The following is a 22,558-nucleotide window of genomic DNA, read 5'->3' as shown; positions in this document are numbered from 1 at the left end:
GGTGGTGCGCTAGCTGTTATTTTTATTATGTGTTGCCAGATCTTTCTTTTGTTTTGTTTTATTTTGTTTGTGTATTTGCTTTTGTGTTTTTTTGTTTGTTCGTCTTTTGAGACAGAGTCTCACTCTGTCACCCAGGCTGGAGTGTAGTGGCGCGATCCCTGCTCACTGCAAGCTCCACCTCCCGGGTTCACGCCATTCTCCTGCCTCAGCCTCCCGAGTAGCGGGGAGTACAGGTGCCCGCCACCACGCCTGGCTAATTTTTTGTAATTTTTTTAAGTAGAGACGGGGTTTTACCGTGTTATCCCGGATGGTCTCGATCTCCTGGCCTCGTGATCCGCCCGCCTCGGCCTCCCAAAGTGCTGGGATTACAGGCATGAGCCACCGCGCCTGGCCTGTGTTTGTTTTGTTTTTGAGACCGAGTCTTGCTCTGTTGCCCAGGCTGGAGTGCAGTGGTGCAATCTTGGCTCACCACAACCTCTGCCTCCTGGGTTCAAGCAAATCTCCTGCCTCATCCTCCAGAGTAGCTGGGACTAAAAGCGTGCATCACCATACTCGGCGAATTTTTGTGTTTTTGTATTTTTAGTAAAGACGAGTTTCATCATGTTGGCCAGGCTGGTTTCCAACTCCTGACCTCAAGTGATCCACCCGCCTCAGCCTCCCAAAGTGCTGGGATTACAGGCGTGAGCCACTGCACCCAGTCTCAGTTCTTTCTTAAATATCTAATGGTAAAATTCTGGATTCATCCATCAAAATATAACTCTTTTTATTTCCTTTGTTCTTATTTGCATCACGACTTTGCTGGTGGGTCATGCATGTACTGAGTCAGTCTGGTAGACTTTAGCATGTAGAATGACTCACCTCCAGCCTCCTGTCTCCAAGTCAGGAGCTCTGACAAACACGTGGCCCTCCATCTCCTGTCCTGTCTCCCCAAGTTAAGATGCCTCCTGTGTAGTACATGTTCCCTTTTCCTGTGCATTGAGATCTCTCATAATAATGCTGTGTTTGGTGTTGGCCTCTCTGATATGTATGTTTTCTCCACCTCCTGTCTGGAATATGCAGTTATACCTTCCATGTGTCTCCTTCCATCTCATTCCACAGCACCCATTGCTCTTTGACTGGACCACACTGTGAATTTGCTCTACGCAGCAAGTGAGCACTCGGCTTGTTGGACCAACCTTTAGAACTGGTATATTTAATAGAAGGTCATGTTGGATTTGTGCACCCAAAGTCTCTATGCCATCCTCTTATACAACAGAAGAATTTCTAAATGTTTCTGCAGACATCTCCAAGTGAAACTGCTTTTAAAAGACATCATCGAAGAGACTGTCATTAAACCATGATTAGGCTTGGTTGGAAAGATTATAGTTTATTAGCCCATCTGATGGTTCTGACTCAGAGAGGGCTCCCTAAGTCCACCTGAATGTAGGAAACTTTGCCTGCCCTAGAGTGATACTACGGGTAGCATCATTTGATCTGTCGAGACTTGGCATCCTAAAATATTCATTTCATATCAGAAGTGATGTATTTTCAAGGGATGTGCGTGGTTAAGAACTGCCAGCATTGACTTTCAATTTAACTGCATAAAGAATGTCAGGTCCATGTGACACAGTCATCATCCTCTTCATTGTAATGCAACTTCGTGGCATAAATGACATCATTGGTATGTGAGTTTCCATGCAAATAATGTCATTTGAATCCTTTTAACAGAAGGTAATGACACAAGAACTCCCAGAGCCGAGGGAACAGTCTTGAAATGAAGACTTTCAAGTGACAACAATCAAGTTGTGACTTGCTTATTTTTCCTCTTCTAATTTCTCCTCTTTTTTCTGATGATGAGATGGCACTTAGGGGAAAAACCAGGTTGAGACTTGGGGCTATGGAAGCCCTTAGTCCTCTCTTAAACAGCTCCTATGCTGGTATAGAACTAGGACTTTTTGTGATCCAAGAACTAGGAAGTCCATTTTATCCCTTTTGATCCTTCCCCTGGGCTGCAAGGTAAGCAAGGACTTCTTTCTATCCAGATTTCATGGCGTGGAATGCCAAGGCTCAGGGCAATGATGTAATCATCATGTGGTGATGATACTGCTGAGAGTCACTGTTTGTTGTTAGTTGTGAACTCACCACGAGCCAATCATTGTTCTAGTGTATTAATTCATTAAATCCTCCTCCAATCCCAGAAACCCAAAGCAGTAGATTTTATTATTGCTCATAGAAGCAGACAGAGGCAATGTGACTTAACCAGGACCACCAGCCAGGAAAGCCAGGCATGTGGGAGATCTTGTCACCTGTACTTGAATCTCGTGGTACTTCATTACCATTCTTCTTTAGAGAAAAAAAATTTGCTGCCAAGTCATACACATGCCTTCCTGCATGTTTGGATCAATCAGCTATTGGCTCAAGTAGTTTGGACACCAAATCTCAAATTCCAGGGTAGGGCCCGGAGCCAAGCCGACTGTCCCCGGCCTCAAGATCTGATGCAGACATAAGCAATGGGAAAAGGTGTCCAGTTTGTCTACATTTGTTGATCCCAGAGTAAGTCCTCATTTCTGAGCTGAATCTGTGACCCCACGATGAAGAGCACAAAAAAAATTAAAATGTAAAAACATGGCTTTGGGAATGTACGTGATGGGTCCACAAACTTTGAACCATGTACTTTGCATACAAACCTTCTGAATAACACTTCTTTTGTGTCTGGCTCAGTGTAGACAGGTGGCTCCCCCATTTCCCCTCCCCCTTTGCTCTGGGGGTGGCAGAAGATATGTGGCCATGACCTTGGCTGTCTGAGAATTTTCTCAGAGGAAAGACAGAAGCAGATGGAGGGTCTTGATATTTAATAAGAGCCTGACATTACCATGGCTTGCCTTAGAATGGGACACAGGGACCAAGAAGGAAGTGATTCTCAAAACTAAACCACCACCATTGACAAAAAAAACAACCCAAGGCATAGAACTTAACCATCATGCCCTGAGTTCAATATCCCTTGGCATTAGGAAGGAGAAAGTGGCTTGGGTCTTTGGAAAAATGAGCAGTGACATGTTGCTCCTCCTAATGATCTTGTGTTCTTGAAAATGCCAACAGAGAAAGGGGAAGACAGAACCCTCTACATGTAGTGCAAGGATCCTCAGAGACACTCTGCTCCCCAATACACTTGACCTTTTGGCTGAAGTTATTGCAGCCCAGAAGAAAAACTGATGTGGTCCTGTTCCAAGGAGTATCGTGACATGATCTTCAATGCCACATCTTACAACTCTAGTCCTCTTTTTATGGGATAACTCCTTTCTGTTTTCACTTCATAAAGACAAAATATTAAGCTTCAAAAAAGTCCAGCAAAAGTATGAAATGTAAAGTGCAGGCAATACTCATGTGAGAAGTAAGACCACTTGCATCAAATGCTGTTGCAGGAGTCATTGCCAGGGGGTGCTGAGCGGGGGGAAAGAATCTTCAGGAGGCTGGCCTAGCTTGAATCCTGCAGCATGCAAGCCAGGGCCCTGGGCTCACCATTGAAATCTCAGAGCCGCAGTTTCTTCTTATCTGAAACAAGGTTGCTGATATGGATATGCATCTTCAATTTTGGTTGTGAGATCAAATGCATTTATGAACAATAGGACAGTATCTACTACATTGTTACATGCTCAGTAAGTGATGTCTACTTACATGAGACTGATTTCTTCGTAAACGTCCACTCCTGTCAAATGCAAAAGAATTCAATAGCCAGGAGATGCATTTTACATAAAATAGCTCCACATGCATTAACTCAAGTGTTTTGCAATGTTTGCCCCTAGAAAAGAAAAATAAGTCTTTTTTTCCCCAAGATACTAGCCCCTGTCAAAGACAGCTCAAGGCTGGTGCTTCCCTGTTTTATGGCATTTTATCTTTCTGTGCACTCACTAAACCCAAAAGCTAGCTTACTTACCTAACACCTGAGGATCTTAAAACATTTTAGATATTAGATTAATTATATTTCTGAATTTGTACTAGAAGGTATCAGGAAACATATAAGAGGCACAGGATTGGGGCTCCTTGGTTTGAGATGAACTTGGGGCCTGACACTTGGGGTGTCATATCTCACGGGATTGAATCTAGGTCTGTTTTAACTAACTCGGTAACTTACGTCAAACTCATTGAACTTTGTTCGCTCTCACTTACTTGGTCTATAAAATGGAAAGAGTTGGTTGTTGACATTTGAAGGGTCTTTTGTAGCTCTGATCTCAGTTTTTCTTGTGCCTCATCCCTTCCCCTTCTCTTCCTTTCCTGAATCTAGTTGCCCTCTCAGGCCCAGCTCAGGCCCTTACTGCCCTGCCCACCACCTCAGACGTCCTCCTGCCTCTTAGCTGCACCCCAAGATCTTTCTGCTTTGCTCCAGATTCTATTATAGACTCTTAGGACCAGTTCTGTTTTGTTTGACTTGTCTTGCACTGTTTATTGATTTCCTTTTTTGACTGTGAACTGATTTCCAGATCCTTGGCCCCAACTTCCAGCTGTGGCAACTGACAACTAACAACTGCGGGGTCTTCTGATCCCATCCTGATTCTCCTCCTCAGTTGCCACCTACTCAGAGGGCTGTGATGAGGGTCAGACAAGATGATGCCCCAGTATACTTGGTAACAAGTTAAGCTATGGGGCCCAACAACTTTCCTTACTAACACCTGGGACTTCTCAAGTCTGTGAGTGCATTCACACATCATGAGAACACCCTACAGGCTAATTGAATACCCAGGGCCTGCCTTTGCTGGTGTTAAAGCAGCAACTTGGTGTGGCCATGCAAATTATTCCAGGCTGTTCTGAAGCTCTGATTTATGGTTATATGTGTTTTTTATAAGTCCTCTAAATTGAGAAATATATTTATTATTATTTACTAAGTAAAGCTCTTTTTTATATACACATTTTTTTACCATGAAGACTCCTGTGGAAATTATGAAAATGGAGTATAATTATTATTTGATGTGAACACAGTCTTCTACCAGACCTAAAGTTAAAAAAAATGTAAAAATTCTTTGTCTCTGACGAAAGTGCCCATTTTCTTATGACTTGAGTCTGCATTAGAGATACATTTATTTGGATTTTTAAAATTCAATCTTTCTGGACTTCTGTGGCTGAAGTCCACTTGCAATTTGAAATGCCACCAGCACCTCTCTTTTTTTCATAATTGATCTGCTTCCAGATTCAAAATTTTGTTTCAGCCATACCAGCGTCTGGTGGGGGACACACACCCTAAATCATAGCATGCCTGTCATCTGACCCTTTCTCCGCCAGTCTGCTGGAAATCCCGTGCAAGCTTCTTTCCCTAACCTGGGATCAGACAGTGTTTCCCACCCAAATTTGATTAAACGTGCCCTCCCTTGCTGTTGTCCATATGGCACCAAAATGCGGGCTGCCTTTCTCATTTTTCCAGACTGTGGGGTCAGACGGTGCCCAGACAGGCAAATAATAGTCAAATTATACAGGAAGTTGTCAAAGGAGTCCGAACACAGACAGAGGAAATCTCTGACCCCACGACAGGTCAAAGGTCTGGTTCAAGTTTCTCCTTCTTAATCTGTCACCACAGCCAAATTAAAAGCAGCCCTTTGAATGAAACCATTTATGGAGTCTGCTTTTTTTTTTTTTTTTTTTGAAAGTTTTTCTTTTATTACAAGCTGAACTTTTTTTTTAATTGCACTAACAATTCTCATCTGAAAAAACATATTTATAATATTAAAAGAGTAAATATGTGTGTGTGAGTGTACGTATATGCACATATATATACACATACATATATAAAATATATATAGATGTGTATATATATGTTTTTGTTTCTCTCAGGAAACGGCCCAACTGAAGATATTTTCTTCCCACTAAATTTAGATGTAGACTTTTTTTTAGTCAGAAAAGGCACCAATAAATACAACTGTCTGCCTAACACACATCCATGCTTTGAACACCTCCCAGAGATCCTGAAAATATTTTAAGACCCATAGCAGGCTGTGAGAAAAAGAAAAACAAAAACAAAAAAGGTGGGATGTGGAGACATTGTTGCCCAAGAAAGACAGTAATGGCAAATGGCAATTCCCAAAAAATCATGTTTAAAAGCCAAAAGAATCTGTCATCATGCTCAAACAGTGAAGATGATCTTTAATGGTTCCTAAGCCTTTCCCTACAGTAACATGTCCCTGGTCTTTCTTTGCCCAGAGCAGAGAGGCATGAAGAAGGGAAACCTGTTCACTGTATTCCACAGCTTTTCTGTTTTCAGACTGACACCAGGAAAACCATCTTAGTAACTGAAAATGCAGAGGCCAAGGTGGGTGAATCACCTGAGGTCAGGAGTTCGAGACCAGCCTGACCAACATGGAGACGTCCTCTCTCTACTAAAAAAAAAAAACAAAAAATTAGCCAGGCGTGGTGGTGCCTGCCTTTAATCCCAGCTACTTGGGAGGCTGAGGCAGGGGAATCGCTTGAAACTGGGAGGTGGAGATTGTGGTGAGCCAAGATCGCGCCATTGCACTGCAGCCTGGGTGACAAGAATGAAACTCTGTCTCAAATAAGAAAAAAAAAAATGCAAAGCAAGCTTCAGTGTTTTCCCTTTTTCGTCTGATGTTTAAGTGGTAAGTGATGAAGGCTTTGGTGGTATTCCCTAGGAGGAGCTTTGTTGGAGGAAATGGGTGATGTCTTTGGGAGGGGCACTGTGAGAAGGAATAGCTCTTCAGGGTTCTTTCTTCCTCTGAGAAACAACTGAAAACCTTTGACATGAGACATGCACTCCATTAGAAGTACCAATGGTACCAATGAAATACTTAGAGGGGAGGGGTAGGTAGAATGGATACCCTACAAGGACAGGGATTGTGATCAGTTTTATTTCCTGATATGTCTCAAGCACCTAGGATAGTGACGGGCACATACCAGGTACTCAATAAATATTTGTTGATCATATATATATATGTGTGTGTGTGCATATATATATATATATGAACATTTTGTTTCCATCCAACAAATTTTACATATAGGTGTCAGTAAACTGCTAAGGGGCTATCAATATCCCTCTGGCATACACCAAAAGTAGACAGCAAGCTAAATTCTACTATACCAGATAAAAATACCTTGGGTTGCAAAGGATGGAAGACCAATAAGAAATCAATTGAACAGTTAGGAAATTCTTATTTTTACATTTAAAATTCTAGATCTAGTCAATGCAGGACTGGAACAGTAGCTCAATAATTCCATTGAAAACTCAGACTCTTTTTAATCTTTCTGTATTTTCCCTTCTAGCGTGGTAGCTACTACCACCTGATTATAAGAGTCCTGTCTTAGAACCCACCATCACATCTGCACACAAAGTGGAAAGAATGAAAAATGATTGGGAGTAACCACATCTTTCCCTTTTATTAGAAAACCTAACCCCTTCCCAGAAGTCCCTAGCAGATCCCTGCTTTTTGTCATTAATCTGAATATTTATATGGCAATCCGTATTGGCTTCCTGTGACTGCTGTAATAAAGTACCACAAACTAGGAGGCTTCAAACAAAAGTAATTTATTGTCTCACAGGTTTGGAGGCCAGAGGTCTGAAATCAAACATCAGTAGAGCTGCACTCCCTCCAAAGCCTCTAGGGGAGGATCCATCCTTACCTCTTCCAGCTTCTGGTAGCCCCAGACATTCTTGACTCATGGAAGCATCACTCCAATCTCTACAGCTTCTTCTTGTGACCATCTGTCTTCTGTGTCTTCACATCACCTCCTATCTGTATATCTCCATGTCCAAATTCCCATCTTCTTATAAGAACCCAGATCATTTTGAATTAAGGATCTATCCTATTCCAGTATGACTTCATCTTAACTGATACTATCCTCAACAGTCCTATTTCCAAATAAGGTGACATTCTCAGGTGCTGGGGGTTAGGACTTCAGCATATGTTTTTGGGTGACACAATTTAACACATAACATCACCCTTAGCCTCAAGGGAAGCTGTCAAAGTGAAATGTTATCTTCGTAAGCCTTTATAGTGGAATGTGTTAGGAGAAGGGGATTGAAAAAGATTTGGGGTTGGCCAATGAGCAGTATTTGTCTTGCCTCTTTCTCACCCACAGGAGACAGCATGGTGGATGGAAGGGAAATGAGCTTCACCATCACAAAGGTGACTTTCAATAAGCTTTAAACAAATGTTCATTTCAGACACCCACAGTGTACCTATTATTACATTACTCCTGACACGCCTCTGAAGACATCAATGTAGCCCATGTAGTTGAGATCTTTTTTATGTAAGAATGGGGCAGGATTCGGAAACTAGCCCCCTTGGTCCTACTTGGAAATATCTTTACCTAGCTGAAGGAAAAGGGTAAAATAAGAAGTGACTTCTTATCTGAAAAATCCAGGGTAAGTTCAAAGGAGAGTGGGGGGTTAACCCATAGTTATTGACATATTAAAATGACACAGTTCATTTGCAGAAATGAACATTCAAGCCTGAGACATTTAAGACACTGGAGATTTTATCCTTTGCCACAACCAACCTTCCCACCAAATAATGATCTCACTGTATTTCTTCTGCAGATAAAATTTATCATCAGCAATCTACTTCCATAAGCCAATAAGTGGATTATTTATAAATGAAAATATTCTCAAAATATTGTCATACTAAGCTATCATGCATAGAGCCGTGGAATTTTAGCACTTGTAGTAATCTATGATTTATTTTGCAACAGTTAGCTAATGTCACATAAATGCTGTGTGACAAACAACCTTAAAATCTCAGCAGCATATAATAAGCATGCGTTTAACTCATGAAAATGTCCATCAGCTGGGGGTAGGCTAGCTAATCTAGTTTGCACTTGTCTAGTTTGAATGGGGCTTATTCATTTGTCTGTGGCCAACTAGAGATCAACTGCCCTAGGTTAAGTACAGCTGCTTGTGACTGCTCCACAGGTCTCCATTCCCCTTCTGCAGCCAGCAAAGGAACCCAGGGATGTCTTCTCAATGCCACAGTAGAGATGAATGAAAGCAATCACTTTCTGTCTGCTGACATCACATCTACCAACATCTCATTGGTCAAACAAGTCCACTGTTCAAACCAAGAGTCAAGATGGAAAGGAAGGAGGGCTTCCCTACCCTCAGTAAGCAGGCCCCGCAAAATCACATAGCAAAAGACCTGGTTACAGGGAAGGATGACTAATTGGGACTATTAATGCTTTGGACTGCAGTCTTAGATACTTCCTCATATGCTATAAGAACACCATGAATGTTAAGTTAAGGAAATTACTAAAATTCATAGGTGAAGAAGTGAGCCCAATTCAGTTGATTGATGGATACCATATCATAGAACAAGTTAAGGAAAGTAATTTATACTTTTTTAACAAGATAATATGTATCTCATCTATACTTCCTCTGGCTTATTAAGCTGGTTGGACCAGGCAAACTTTAACACTGAAAGATAATCTTGAACATTGAAAGTAAATTAAAAATAATTTCAAAACTCATTTTGAAAGCATTTTAGATAGTGCTTCTTGTGATAAACAGCTACTTAAAAAAAAAACAACATAAAACCAGACTAGGAAATATTATTTTAATAATTATTAGCAATAATAATTGTTATAATATTATGATATAATAATATTAACAATAATAATTATTATTACTTATTTTCTTGGTATACACATACATGTGCTTGTCTTATGCCTTTAAAGCACTGTATATGAAGAGTCATGTGTGCATGTTATCAGGGGGCTGGGGGCTTGGGGTCGGGAAACTGAAGAAATACTGAGGACAGGGCTGGGCACAGTGGCTCACGCCTGTAATCCCAGCATTTTGGGAGGCTGAGGTGGGCGGATCACTTGTGGTCAGGAGTTTGTGACTAACCTGGCCAACATGATGAAACCCCATCTCTACTAAAAATACAAAAATTAGCCGGGCATGGTGGCACGTGCCTGTAATCCCAGCTACTCGGGAGGCTGAGACAGGAGAATGGCTTGAACCCGGGAGGTGGAGGTCACAGTGAGCCACAATGGCACCATTGCACTCCAGCCTGGGTGACAAAGCAAGACTCCATCTCAAAAAAAAAAAAAAAAAAAAAGAAAAGAGAAAAAAAATACTAAGGACAGAAGTCAAGACTTACTTCCCTACTAAGTCTTTGGCAGTCCCAATCTCTGCTATGCAATTTGGGTAGACCAGCAGAAGGTCTTACAAAAAGAAAAAAAAAAAGTAACTTGGAATACCAGATCGAGCAGCATTCCTGTGGTGTATTGCAGTCAGTAGTTGCTTGATCCATTTTCTGGCTCCTTGATTTGGTCACACACATTCACCATCTGTACCAGGCAATGTGAGTGAATGTCCAGTCCCCTCAGCTAATGTTTCCACAAGGAGTGGTAAATCATTTTGAGTGTATAAAAAAGCAGAAGTTATTGTGTGGGGTTATAGCTTGTACATTGTTTGCTTTGAAATGTGTCTTGAAATGAGTTTTCAAGATATGGGAGCCAGTCCCCTGTCCCCTTGATTTACAGATGAGAAAAATTAGGTCCAGAAGAGAAAAGACTTGCTGAAGCAGGTGAGTGTCTGAGCGGGGTCAGCAGCCCACCACTCTTTAATTCAGTTCTAGATTCCCTCACTGCACGTCAGCATCACCCCTGCCAGCTTCATCTCCTCCTGGGAAGGTTCGGAACAAACAGAGGCTTTAATGCCAGAGCCCCCCTGCAGAGCTGGGCATCTCCAGTGGCTGGCAGTGGCCTGCATGGGCATGAGATTTAGCATGCACCAAGCATGTCCACCTGCTCCTCAGCATTGAATCCCCATAACAGACTTGTGGCCAGTTGAGATTGCATCACTCCCACGTCACAGATGAAAACGCATAATGACCCAGAGAAGTTCCACCTCCCTCAGCTCGGACCAGCCCCAAAACACACAGGTAGTAAACAGCAGGGAAAACAATGTTCTGTGGCTTCAGACCCTTAATCTCTTGCTCTCTGAACATGTGTCTGTGTACCATTGTCTCTTCTATAAATTTTTTGATCTGTCTTCCATCTGCCTGTCTATCCACCCAGCCATTATTCATCCACTCAACTGGTATTTATTGAGTGCTTACTATATGCCCCTCGCTATTCAAAGATCTTGGGGTTTGAGTCTGGAATCAAGCAGTAACAATTGGGGTTTCACATCCTAAAGGATATTTTTAACCTAATATGTCCACAATATTATCATTTGGGGTAGAGCAGTTCATGAAATAGAGAACATTATCTACTATTCTAGGAATCACCTTCTAGTAGCGAGGAAGATTAACAAAAAAAAAAAATAAGTTATGTTACATGTTTGACAGTAGTAAGTACTAAGAAGGAAAAATAAAACAGATAAAAAGCAAAAGAATATCATGAATGGGAAGAGGTAGACTGTTAGACCAAGAGGCCAGAAAAAGCAGCACTTAAGACATTATGCTGAACCCATCCACCCACCCACTGACTCATTTATTCATTCACGTATTCCTTCCTCCATTGTCCTTCCAACCAAGTAACCAGCCGTTCTTTCAGCTACTCAATAAGTGGTACAGAAATGTATGTATTTGATATTTTATTCATCCAGTTATTCAAAAATTAATTGGTTCTTTTACTCACTCTTTGATGTATTCACCAACTTATTTACTCATTCATCCACTTTATTTCTTCATTTCCTTTTTCTTTTTTTCTTTCTTTCTTTATTTTTTTGAGACGGAGTCTTGCTCTGTTGCCAGGCTGGAGTGCAGTGGTGCGATCTCAGCTCACTGCAACCTCCACCTCCCGAGTTCAAGCAATTCTCCGCCTCAGCCTCCCGAGTAGCTAGGACTACAGGTGTGTGTCATCATGACCAGCTAATTTTTGTATTTTTAGTAGAGACGGGGTTTCACCATGTTGGCTAGGATGGTCTCAATCTCTTGACCTTTTAATCCATCTGCCTTGGCCTCCCAACATGCTGGTATTACAGGCTTGAGCCACCATGCCCAGCCTTCATTTCCTTTTTCAAAAATGTATTCATATACCAGATATTTACTAAACTCCTTCATTATCCTTTGGCACTAGGAAAAACAAAGAAGGTGTGAACAAGGCTTTCGGGGGGGGGGAAATTTCCCAGGCTGTCCCCTGATTGTAAATTTGTAACTGTGTTTTGTTTAAGTGCTTACGCTGAGTGCTTGCTGGGCTCAGTGCAAGCACTGAGCTCCTGGGACATCAGATAACACAGCCACAGTGCCAGGGGCTTTATCACAGCCTAATACTACTAAAAGGATGCTATCAGGCTTAACCCTGTCACCTTGAACCAGAAATGAATAATGAGCACCTTTCACAGTTAATATTAATCCAGACAGTCTCCATATATCATTTGCCAAAAGGCACAATGTCTTCTGGGTCCCGGAGCTCTGGGACAGCACACAGAGTCCATGGGCGACTTCAGGGCGAGACGGTAGGGTGAGTTCACACTTTGAAGCTGAGTTTGCCCATCCAACCTCAAAACACATAGCAAGACAGACATAGATAAAATAAGAGTAAAGCAGACATGGCAGTCAAAAGCAAGACAAACATCCACAGGGAACAGAAACCCAAGGCATAAATGAAGCTAAAGCCACGGGCTGCTGGGATTTGAGCTTGGAAATAAGCAGCAGCAGTTGGAGTTTCACATCGTAAGGATCATGTCTTTCCTGTACTGAATATGTCCACAATATTATCATTTAGATGTGTAATCAATGTAAAATGTTATTAATGAAATATTCATAATTTCTGTTCTTTTCTTTGTACTAAATCTTCAAACTCCATTATGTACACATTATATAAATTATATATACACATTATATACATTATGTGCACATTATATATACATAGGGTCCATGTCAATTTGGAACAGCCACATTCAAGCTCTTGACAGCTACATCTGGCCAGTGGCTACTGAACTGGACATGCAGTTCTCAAGGGTAGTGGTGATACTGGGGATAATGGGAGTAAAATGAGGGCAGTGAAGATGAAGACCCCATTTTCTCATTTGCCAGTAATGAGAACCACCACGCATGGACACGGAGCTAGTCAATTAATATCACAGTAAGCTTCTGGGGTAGGTATTCTCTTATCCCATTTGTAGCATGGGGAATCCCAAGCACAGGCAGATTCAGTGACTTGCCCACAACCAAGAACTAAGAAGCAGTCATATATGAACCAGACTATGGGATGCCACAAGTCAGGGGCTTTAGTGGGTACTGCTGTCTGTCACAATATGAACCTTTGGAAAGAAGTTGCACCCCATGTGACTCTCGGCCTAGAAGGTTTTCTTCTTTTCACAATGACTTCCTGGCTTGCATGGTGACAAAGGAGGGAGCTACTTCTTCCGTCTTAATGTCCTTTAGCAAAGGAATGCAGCACCGGCGCTGTCACCTCCTCCCTCCTTTCTCTCCCTGATTCCTGGGCTCCAGGAACCACGGGATCAGCATATCCGGTGCCCCACCCTCTTTGCTCTGTTCAGGCCCCTGGATAAGGAGTGCATCCCTTCTTCAGTATTTACTGCGCATGGCAGACAAATGGGTCCTTGGAGCTGCCTCCAGAGAACCAAGACCCAGACATTAAAGTGAATTACGAAAAAAGTACCCCGTCATTTTCCTTGTTTGCTTCATTCAGTCTCCAGTAAATAATCAGAAAGCACTTAGCAAGGACACAGGCCAGTAGTGTCAATAATAAGACCCCTTTGTCACTGACAAAGCTCTGGAAACAAAGCTGGAGACATCGCTGCCAAGTGAGGTGAGCATTAGGCAACCTGTGGAGCCTCCGAGTTAGCCTCCAATCCTGCCTTCTCCTCCCGCTCCTTCCTTGGGCAAATCGCAAGCCTGCTCTCCGCCAGAGTGTCCTCATCAGTAAATAGGGCTGATAGTCCCCTGGCAGTTTATATACAGAGGTAAGGTATTATTGATTCATCAAAATGAATTTTTTTATTCACGTTATTTTATTTATTTATTTAGCCATTCAAAAAGCATCTATTGAACACCTACAGTGTGCCAGCTGCTGTGCTCTGTATAGCCTGGGGATTCAACCATGTGGGCCCTCTATCTGTTTCGTCCTAGAGCACGTAAATTCTATGGAAGCAGGGAGGGGGCCTTGTGCATGTGGCTCTGCAGTGACTACAACAGTATCTGACTGTTGTTTATCAAAAGTTGTCAAAAGAACAAGGCCCCTGACTTCAAGTTGCTCACATTCCCCAAAGAGAGACAGCCAGATCAAAAAATAACAGAGAGCGAGACAGGTGGTGCTGGGGAGATACAGGATGCCATGGGAACCAAATTTAGGTTTTGGGTGTCAAGGCAGGGTTCCTGGAGGAAGATTTTTCTAAACTGAGATTAGAAGGGTAAATGGGAGTGAACTAGATGAGCAGGAGGTGTGCCTGGGTGCATAAGGTTGTTGGGAGGCTCCCAGGAGAAATGCAGACGTGATGGGTCAGCTGTCCTGCAGTGCTGAGGCTGGAGAGAGATGTGTTCAGACCCAGTACTGTGTGGTCAGCAGACTGGGGATGGAGAGTGGGAAGTAACAGATCAATCACAGGTGTGGGCACACACGCACCTATCCTGGCCCTTCCTCCCCTGGCTGTGGTCTGATGCTCTTGGGACAGTCATTGTCCCTTCTCTGAGCCTCAGTTTTTCTCTACAAAATAGGATTAACAATGCATACCATTGAAAGGTTATTTTGAGGCTGAAATGAGGTGAAATCACACAGTCCTGACTGCGGGGCCTGACCACTAACACCATGTCCCATAAGTATGCCAGTCACCTGGAGGGTGCCCTACAGAAAAGGGTCTGCTCTACTGAATATAATAGTAGCATCTCAGAGGGTGATTCGGAGTTTACATTCTTAACACCTGGCACCTATAGCACTTAACCAAGAGCTATAATTTATTACACAGCACTTTAGAGACATTGCAATTGTCTAAATAGAGCATAGTTCCAAGTACTGGAACCATTGAGAACTGATTTTTTTTTCCAACTCCAAACATCCAGGGGAAAGAGAGAAATCACCAGAAAGCTTCTATGTCAGCTAATGTCCCTGTTACCAAAGCTACATCTGCAGGAGGCTCCCCAGGGCTGCCTCTGACTCCACTCTACCTCAGCCATGCTAACAGACTCCAAAGGTCAAGACCTCGAGCTATATCAGAATATTCAGGTTTATTCACTGGGCGCTTCCTCCCAAGAAAGAAATTCTGACTCTGGCATAAACGTTGTCTAGAGTCAAACAAGAAGTTTCCCTTTGACCAGTGATTTGTATGGATTAATCAAAAGTGTCAATACTCAGCCTAGCCTGACCTCCACCCATCATGGTTAATCAGAAAATCACTTGCCTAAATGCCATAATGGAAGGAGCATAGAAATAAAGGAAGGGGAGAGAGTGAAGTGAGGAAGGGAGGGAAGGAGGAGGAGGATGGGGGAAAGAGGAAGAAAGAAAGACGAAAAAAAGAGAGAGAAAGAAAGAGAATACATAGAGTATGAGGTGATTATGAGAGAGTGAATGTAATAAAAATGAAAAAGGATGCACAGAGAAAGAGGAGTGAATAAGAGAAGGGATAAGACAGAGGTTGGAAAAGAAAGAAACAGGAAGAATGAATCCAGGGACACGGTGGGCTTATTCATTATTATCCAAAAGATTTCTCTTTTTTCCCCCTCTTCTTTAAATCCTAATTTAGATATCTTGTGATATTTCTGCCTTGCTGGATAGAATGGACAAATAACATTTATTTTATATATATTTATATATGTATATATATATATAAATATAGATATAGATATATATATTTCCAGGTTATTGTGAAATCATATACAGGTATAGAAGTTATTTAAAAAATATAACAAGACTAATTTGCCATTGTTTTCATCAGGGAAGCTGTCTCTGTCCATACCAAACATTTTTGTTTACACAGCCCCCTTTAGGCTTTCTGTGTACATGTGTGTGCATATGCATGTGTGTGTGTGTGTCTGTGTGTGTGCACAGAAAGGGGAAAATGGTCCCAGTCAGCATTTGTTGGATGTTTCCATTCTGTCAAACCAGGATGATCTAAATTTGAGATATACGCAGATCCAGCAGTATAATTAATCTACAACCCTAAACAAGTCCATATCCTAGTTATAGAGATCCTATATTGAGGCCTGCCTGAAATCTTAAGTTTACCAAACCTTATATTTGGACCTTAAAACTGGGCCGCAATCAGGAAAGCCATCTTCTCAGCTCTGAGATTTGCCAATTAAATTTTTTAATCTAAATTTGGAAGCAGGTCATTAGCATATCATTATTGATGCCACATGCAAGCTACTTTTTTCCCCTCCAAGAAAAAAATAAATCACAGCATTTCCAGCACACATTTGTTAATATAAAAATTACCATATCAATAAAACGCCATTATTTGATAGGAACTGCCCCTCTCAAAAGGTTCCAAACTATTGTTTGGTCCAGATACGCATGCTCTTGGTGCAAGCTTTTATTTATTTATTATTATTATTGCTGATTTTTTTTAGCTCCTGCTCTGACTGGTGAAGCTATCCATTCCCACCAGGGCTGACCACAATCCCCCTATTCCTCCTGAGGTCTCCACGGTCCCACGCTCCATAACAGTGACCTTTTGACAGGACCGCATACTCAGGCGGGGGCTGGGGGACAAAGGAATACATTTTCCAGTGAAGAGCTATCATGAAGTTGGGCAGATGGATGTGAGATGTAAGCTCTTAATTAGGGCCACACGGCTGGTTGACCTCTCAGGAGACACAAAGGTGTGTACGCAGAGCCCCCAGGCTCACCTGCTTCTATAGCCTCCGCGAGTTAGCTAGGCGCCTCTCAGAATTTACCCGAAGCGTGCAGATTTGCGGGGAGGGTGTGCCTTTATTCTGAGACAGAAATCAGCAGTTTAGCATGAATATTCTCAGCTGGCAGATGGGAGAGGGCGGGTTGTCACGTCAATAGAATCTGATCCGGTGGTTAGGTAAGACCTGGGGACAAAGATGGAATTGTTCCAACATCAACCAGGCAATACAGTAATGACAATCACCTCTTCCATTTGAGGGGGCAGGAGGAGAGCAGGGTGGGGGTGGGGAGTGAGGAAGTGAATGTTGCCAAAGTGCTTGTTCTTTCTAGAGCATTTGCATTTGTCACTATCTTGAAACCTCCAGCCACCCAGGCAGACACATCATATTGTCTCCATTTTCCAGATAAGAAAACCAAGACAGTGAATTAAGTAGTGAGCAAATCTCAGCTCTGTTTGAGGGAACTGAACCCATTTCGTTTGGCTCCAAAGTCTGCACCAACTGTGAACTGTTTTATTCTGCCTTACCTCGCAGAGACTCTCCCCATCCTCACACAGAGTCTTTCAGTTCAGATGCCATTCAGTGAGTGATTGTTGTGTGCAAGCGAGGCCCTGCGTCTGTACCCCCATTACACAGATGCAAATACTGAGGCTCAGAGAGGTGACATGATTTCCCAAAATGGTACAGCTGGCACCTGCTGAAGTCAGGGCACAAAGCCCAGGTCTCTTGGCTTCGGGTCTAATGCTGTCCCTCCATTCATGCTGTCTCTTTGTCTTATCTCACCCGGCATGGTAGCCTGGTGCATGAAGAATCTGCACCAGCCACCCTAAGTTATGCTGACTCCAAAGGAAGCTTGGTGACTCCACAAGGATTTGCACACTAGAGTCCAACCCTAGCTGTAGATGGGACTAGGAAACCCAAGATGCTGAGTTTTAGGGACTTTCTCTTCTTCACAGCAGGGTTGGAACCAGACTCCTGCTCTCCTAACTGCAAGCTGAAATCTTAGTCCTTGCACATTCTGCTAAGCTGAACACCCTGTGATTCAGGCTAAGGCCCCAGAGTCCTATTATAAAGTTATCCTTGCCAAGTCCAGTGTACGATGTCCTTCATGCTGGGAAGGAAGCCAAGTTATTATTCTTGTCCTCTTTCTTTCCTTTTTTTATTCCTTTCTTACATTTTTACCTTCCTCCCTTCCTTCTAAAAAAACTATTTCAAAAAACATTCAGGTTTACGGAAAAGTTGCAAAATAAGTCAGTAAATAAATTCCTAAATCTCCTTTACCCAAATTCCCTAAGTTAACATTTGCCACATTTGCTTTTTCTTTCTCTTAAGGGAGAGATGGATGGATGCTGGGTGGATGGGTGAACATATGGATAGATATAGATAGATATCAATACATACATATGTATATACACATCTACATACACTGTATATATATGTGTGTATGTATACACACATCTACATACACTGTTACTTGTTTTTCTGAGCTATTTAAGAGTGAGTTACAGATAGAAGCTCCTTTACCCAGAAATATGTCAATGTGCATTTCCTAAAAATAAAGACATTCTCTTATATCACCATGGTATAATGATCAAAATCAGAAAATAAACACTAATATAGCACTATGTTCTAATCCACAGACTTTATTCAAATGTCATAAATGGTCCCAACACTGTTCTTTAAAGCAAAGTAATTTTAATTTTTCGGTCCAGGATCAAATCTAGAATCTCACATTTCACTTACTTGTACTGTCTCTAGTCTCCATTGATCTGGAACTATTCCACATTCTTTCTCTGCCTTTCACGAACTTGACATTTATGAACAGTACAGGCCAGTTGTTTTGTCGAAAGTCCTTTAATTTGAGTTTGTCTGCTGTTTCCTGGTGATTAGATTCAGGTTATGTGTTTTTGGCGGGAATGTCACAGAAGTGACGTTATGTCCTCCTCGGCGCCTGGGGGGCATGTGATGGCAGTTAGTCCCATTACTATGGATGTTAACTTTGATCACTTGGTTAAGGTAGCATCTGCCAGATTTCTCTACTGCGAAGCTACTCGTTTTTTCCTGTTTAAATGAGTAAGTATCTTTTTGTGAGATGCATTGAGTGTATGCAAATGCCTGCTTTTCATTACACTTTGATATTTGATATTTTTTATCTGGATCAATTATTACTATGGTAGTTGTCAAATGGCGATTTTCTAATTCGTTCTTTCCATCTACCTTTATTAGCTGGCATTCCATGGTAAGAAAGAACCTCGTGGCCGGGTGCGGTGGCTCACGCCTGTAATCCTAGCACTTTGGGAGGCCGAGACGGGTGGATCACAAGGTCAGGAGATCGAGACCATCCTGGCTAACACGATGAAACCCTGTCTTCACTAAAAATACAAAAAATTAGCCGGGCGTGGTGGCGGGCGCCTGTAGTCGCAGCTACTCGGGAGGCTGAGGCAGGAGATTTGCTTGAACCCGGGAGGCAGAGCTTGCAGTGAGCTGAGATCATGCCACTGCAACAAAGCGAGATTCTGTTGAAAGAAGGACAGAAAGAAAGAAAGAAAGAAAGAAAGAAAGAAAGAAAGAAAGAAAGAGAAAGAAAGAAAGAAAGGAAGAAAGAGAAAAGAATGAGCCGTGTCTTCTTTTCTATTCACTTCTTTCATTTGTTCATTCATTTATGTTGGTACAGGCTTGTGGATTCGTATGTATTCACTGGGCTTCCTTCCCTCATTCTCTCTGTCTCTGTCTCTCTCTCTCTCTCACACACACACACACACACACACATTCAAAGAAAACAAACACTGGGAAAGTGGCACAGGGGGCAGGTTGGAAAGCTGCATGATGAGTTTGAAGTCTGACCTCTGGAAGGAGACCTGCAGGGAGGAGGGCGGGGCTGGCAGAAGCAGCAGAGGCCAGCTAACAGGCTCTGTGATAGGGTTCGCCAGTCTCTCCTGCCCTCAGCAGAGAGGCTTAAATATCTCCTTCTTGGACAAACAGATCAATACAAGCTTTTTAACATCTTCAATGAGAGCTCATTAATGCTCTCTGGGTGTCCTCCTGCGGCCGGGCTGACCTGGGAGGAGCAGGGGAGACTGAACTGCAGACAGATAATTATCCCAGAGATAACACTTCAGATCGGCTCCTGGCAGCATGTGAATCGTTTTCCTAATTATTCAGGACAGCAGCTAGTGAGAGTGCAAACTAATTGAAAATACGTGATGATTTATTTGCGTGGCCGAGGCTCAGCCCATGTACTGGGTTAAGTGCAGAGCGCCCCTCAGCCTCTCAGTCCGTCGCTGAGGCCTCTTAGGCCTGATGACACAGAGGATGGTGAGAATATTTCTGTATTAGCCATCTAAGCTTACGAGAGCTGGCAGTTATGAAGGACTTTTCAAAAGACATGTGGGCAATCTATTGTTTCACTTTTACCCCTCAAGTAAATAAAATTACTGAGAGTTGGTATTTGGTCCACGCTATTTTGCCCAACTCACAGAATTTCTTTCACTAAATGGCCTTTGATCTTTTGACCTCATCCTTCCCTTAGGACAGGGCAACACTCAGTGCTACCTGCACCATGAGGATACTGTTAAGGACACTATACTTGTCCCTTTATGAAATCCTGTGTGATGATAATTTACTCTAGACTGTTAGGCAGACAAGAGTTTGCCTGAAAAACTTTACTCCTTTTGGGCCATAAACATGCTAAACATCTTGCCCTTTTTGACCTAGCTACCAGGAAGATCAAGGCAAAATTTTAAATTTAGCTTGATTAGGTAGGAGCTTATACCCTGCACTTCTATAGTAAAGGCAATTTCAAAAGGTTACTGCTCTCATTCTGATGTAAATATCAATTCCCCAATTCAGAGACTGAAGGGACTTTAGCAGTTAGTGTCACAACTAACTCCAGAGTCCAAGCTCATGCCAGTTTACAACATATTCTTCCTAGATCGCCAAAGGTATTGTTTACCTGGGCATGCTCTAATGCAGAAGCCAGTAAACTTTCTCTGTAAAGAAACAATCAGGTCTGGGCACGATGGGTCACACCTGTAATCCCAGCACTTTGGGAGGCTGAGGCAGGCGGATCACGAGGTCAAGAGATCAAGACCATCCTGGCCAAGATGGTGAAACCCTGTCTGTACTAAAAATACAAAATATTAGCTGGCCGTGGTGGCATGCGCCTGTAGTCCCAGCTACTCAGAGGGCTGAGGGAAGAGAATTGCTTGAACCCAGAAGGTGGAGGTTGCAGTGAGCCAGGATTGCACCACTCCACTCCAGCCTAGTGGCAGAGGGAGATTATGTCTAAAAAAAAAAAAAAAAGCACCAGTCAGTAAATATGTAAATATTTCAGACTTTGTGGTGATCTCAACTCCACTAAATTCTATAGCTATAGCATAAAAACAGCCACAGACAGAAATTCAGAATAATTCAATGCATGAATGTGACTACGCTCCAAAAAATACATATGGACACCAAAATTTGAATTTTATAGGATTTCTGTATGTCACAAAATATTATTTCTCTTTGATTTTTGCATAAACTCTTAAAAAGAGTAAATACCATTCTTAGTTTGTGAGGCATCCAAAAATAGACAGTGGGCTGGATGTGGTTCATAGACCATCATTGCCCATCCCTGGTATACAGAAATATGTGGAGAAGGAAGAAGAAGAGATAAACGTTCTTGGGGATAATGTATTCTTCTGTAGATGGATACAAAAGATGATTAATATAACATTGTTAAGCTAAATGAACTTATAATTAAATCAAAATCTTTTCTCCTTAGAACATGTGATTTTGTAAGCACAAGCAAGACTGAGGCCAATCGCATTTACTAGGCTAGAGTAAGGATTTGCACACAGACTGACCCTTGTGAATCTTGTTTAGCAAATTTACTTTTTCGTAGTATTATTGTAATCTTAGTCAATTAAAGGAATCTTCATTCCAATAATGGTATTGTTGACAGAACATCATTAACAAAACTGAAATTTGACAGATTGGTGAGATGCCAAAGAAAGGAAGTTTTCTAGCAGTACCACTTACTGTCACATTTCCAATGAAAAAATATACATTACCACCATCAATACCATCAGCACCATCACTACAACCATCATTACCATCATCACTACCACCATCAACACCAGCACAGCCACATCTACCAGTATTATCATCGCCACCATTACTTCCATCACAAGCATCACCACTACTACCACATCATCACCTCCACAACCACCATCACAACTACTGCCATTACCATCATCACACTCACTGTCACCGTCAAAACAACTACCACTAACACAACCAAAACCACCACCACCACTGTCAACACAATCACAACCACATCTACCAGTACTATTATCACTACCACAACTGTCACCATCATCAACACTAATACCTCCACAACCACTACTCCCATCATCATCATGCCCACTGCCACCATCATTCACACCATTCAAACAACCACATCCCCTTCTACCACATTAATCACCATTATCACCACTGCCAAGACACCACAATCACTACATCATCCACTGCCATTTTCAATACCCTAACCATTATTGTCATCAATGCAACATCAAACACTATCACCACCATCATCACATAAAAACCACCACCATCATCTCTAAACCCTCACCACCATCTCCAAAACCACCACCACTACCAAAACAAGCACTACCTTCTCATCTTTTGCACTCAAGATTATACAGAGATGTGAGTCAGAACACTTTTGCTTAATGCCAATTTCCAAGTCGATGAGATTCTTCCTGACTTTCCTCTCCTTCTTCATTTATACCAAAGTCTAAAAGCATATATTCAATTGAGTTATTTCATTTTAACTTACCATT

The 22,558-nt window shown here is 42.1% G+C and overlaps 1 annotated feature.

Moving 5' to 3' along the window:
* Window positions 19,081-19,290: a silencer, noted in NCBI's record as "fragment chr14:98315519-98315728 (GRCh37/hg19 assembly coordinates)". NCBI's record gives its function as "represses an EF-1alpha promoter that drives an FKBP-Casp9 reporter gene in an ReSE screen in phorbol 12-myristate 13-acetate-treated (for megakaryocytic differentiation) K562 erythroleukemia cells {active_cell/tissue: K562(+PMA)}" and the evidence as "EXISTENCE:reporter gene assay evidence [ECO:0000049][PMID:32094911]".

This window comes from Homo sapiens, chromosome 14 (genome assembly GCF_000001405.40).
Source record: "Homo sapiens chromosome 14, GRCh38.p14 Primary Assembly".
Lineage (NCBI taxonomy): Eukaryota > Metazoa > Chordata > Mammalia > Primates > Hominidae > Homo > Homo sapiens.
The sequence above is the reverse complement of the archived record's forward strand: the minus strand, read 5'-3'. Positions and strand labels throughout refer to the sequence as shown.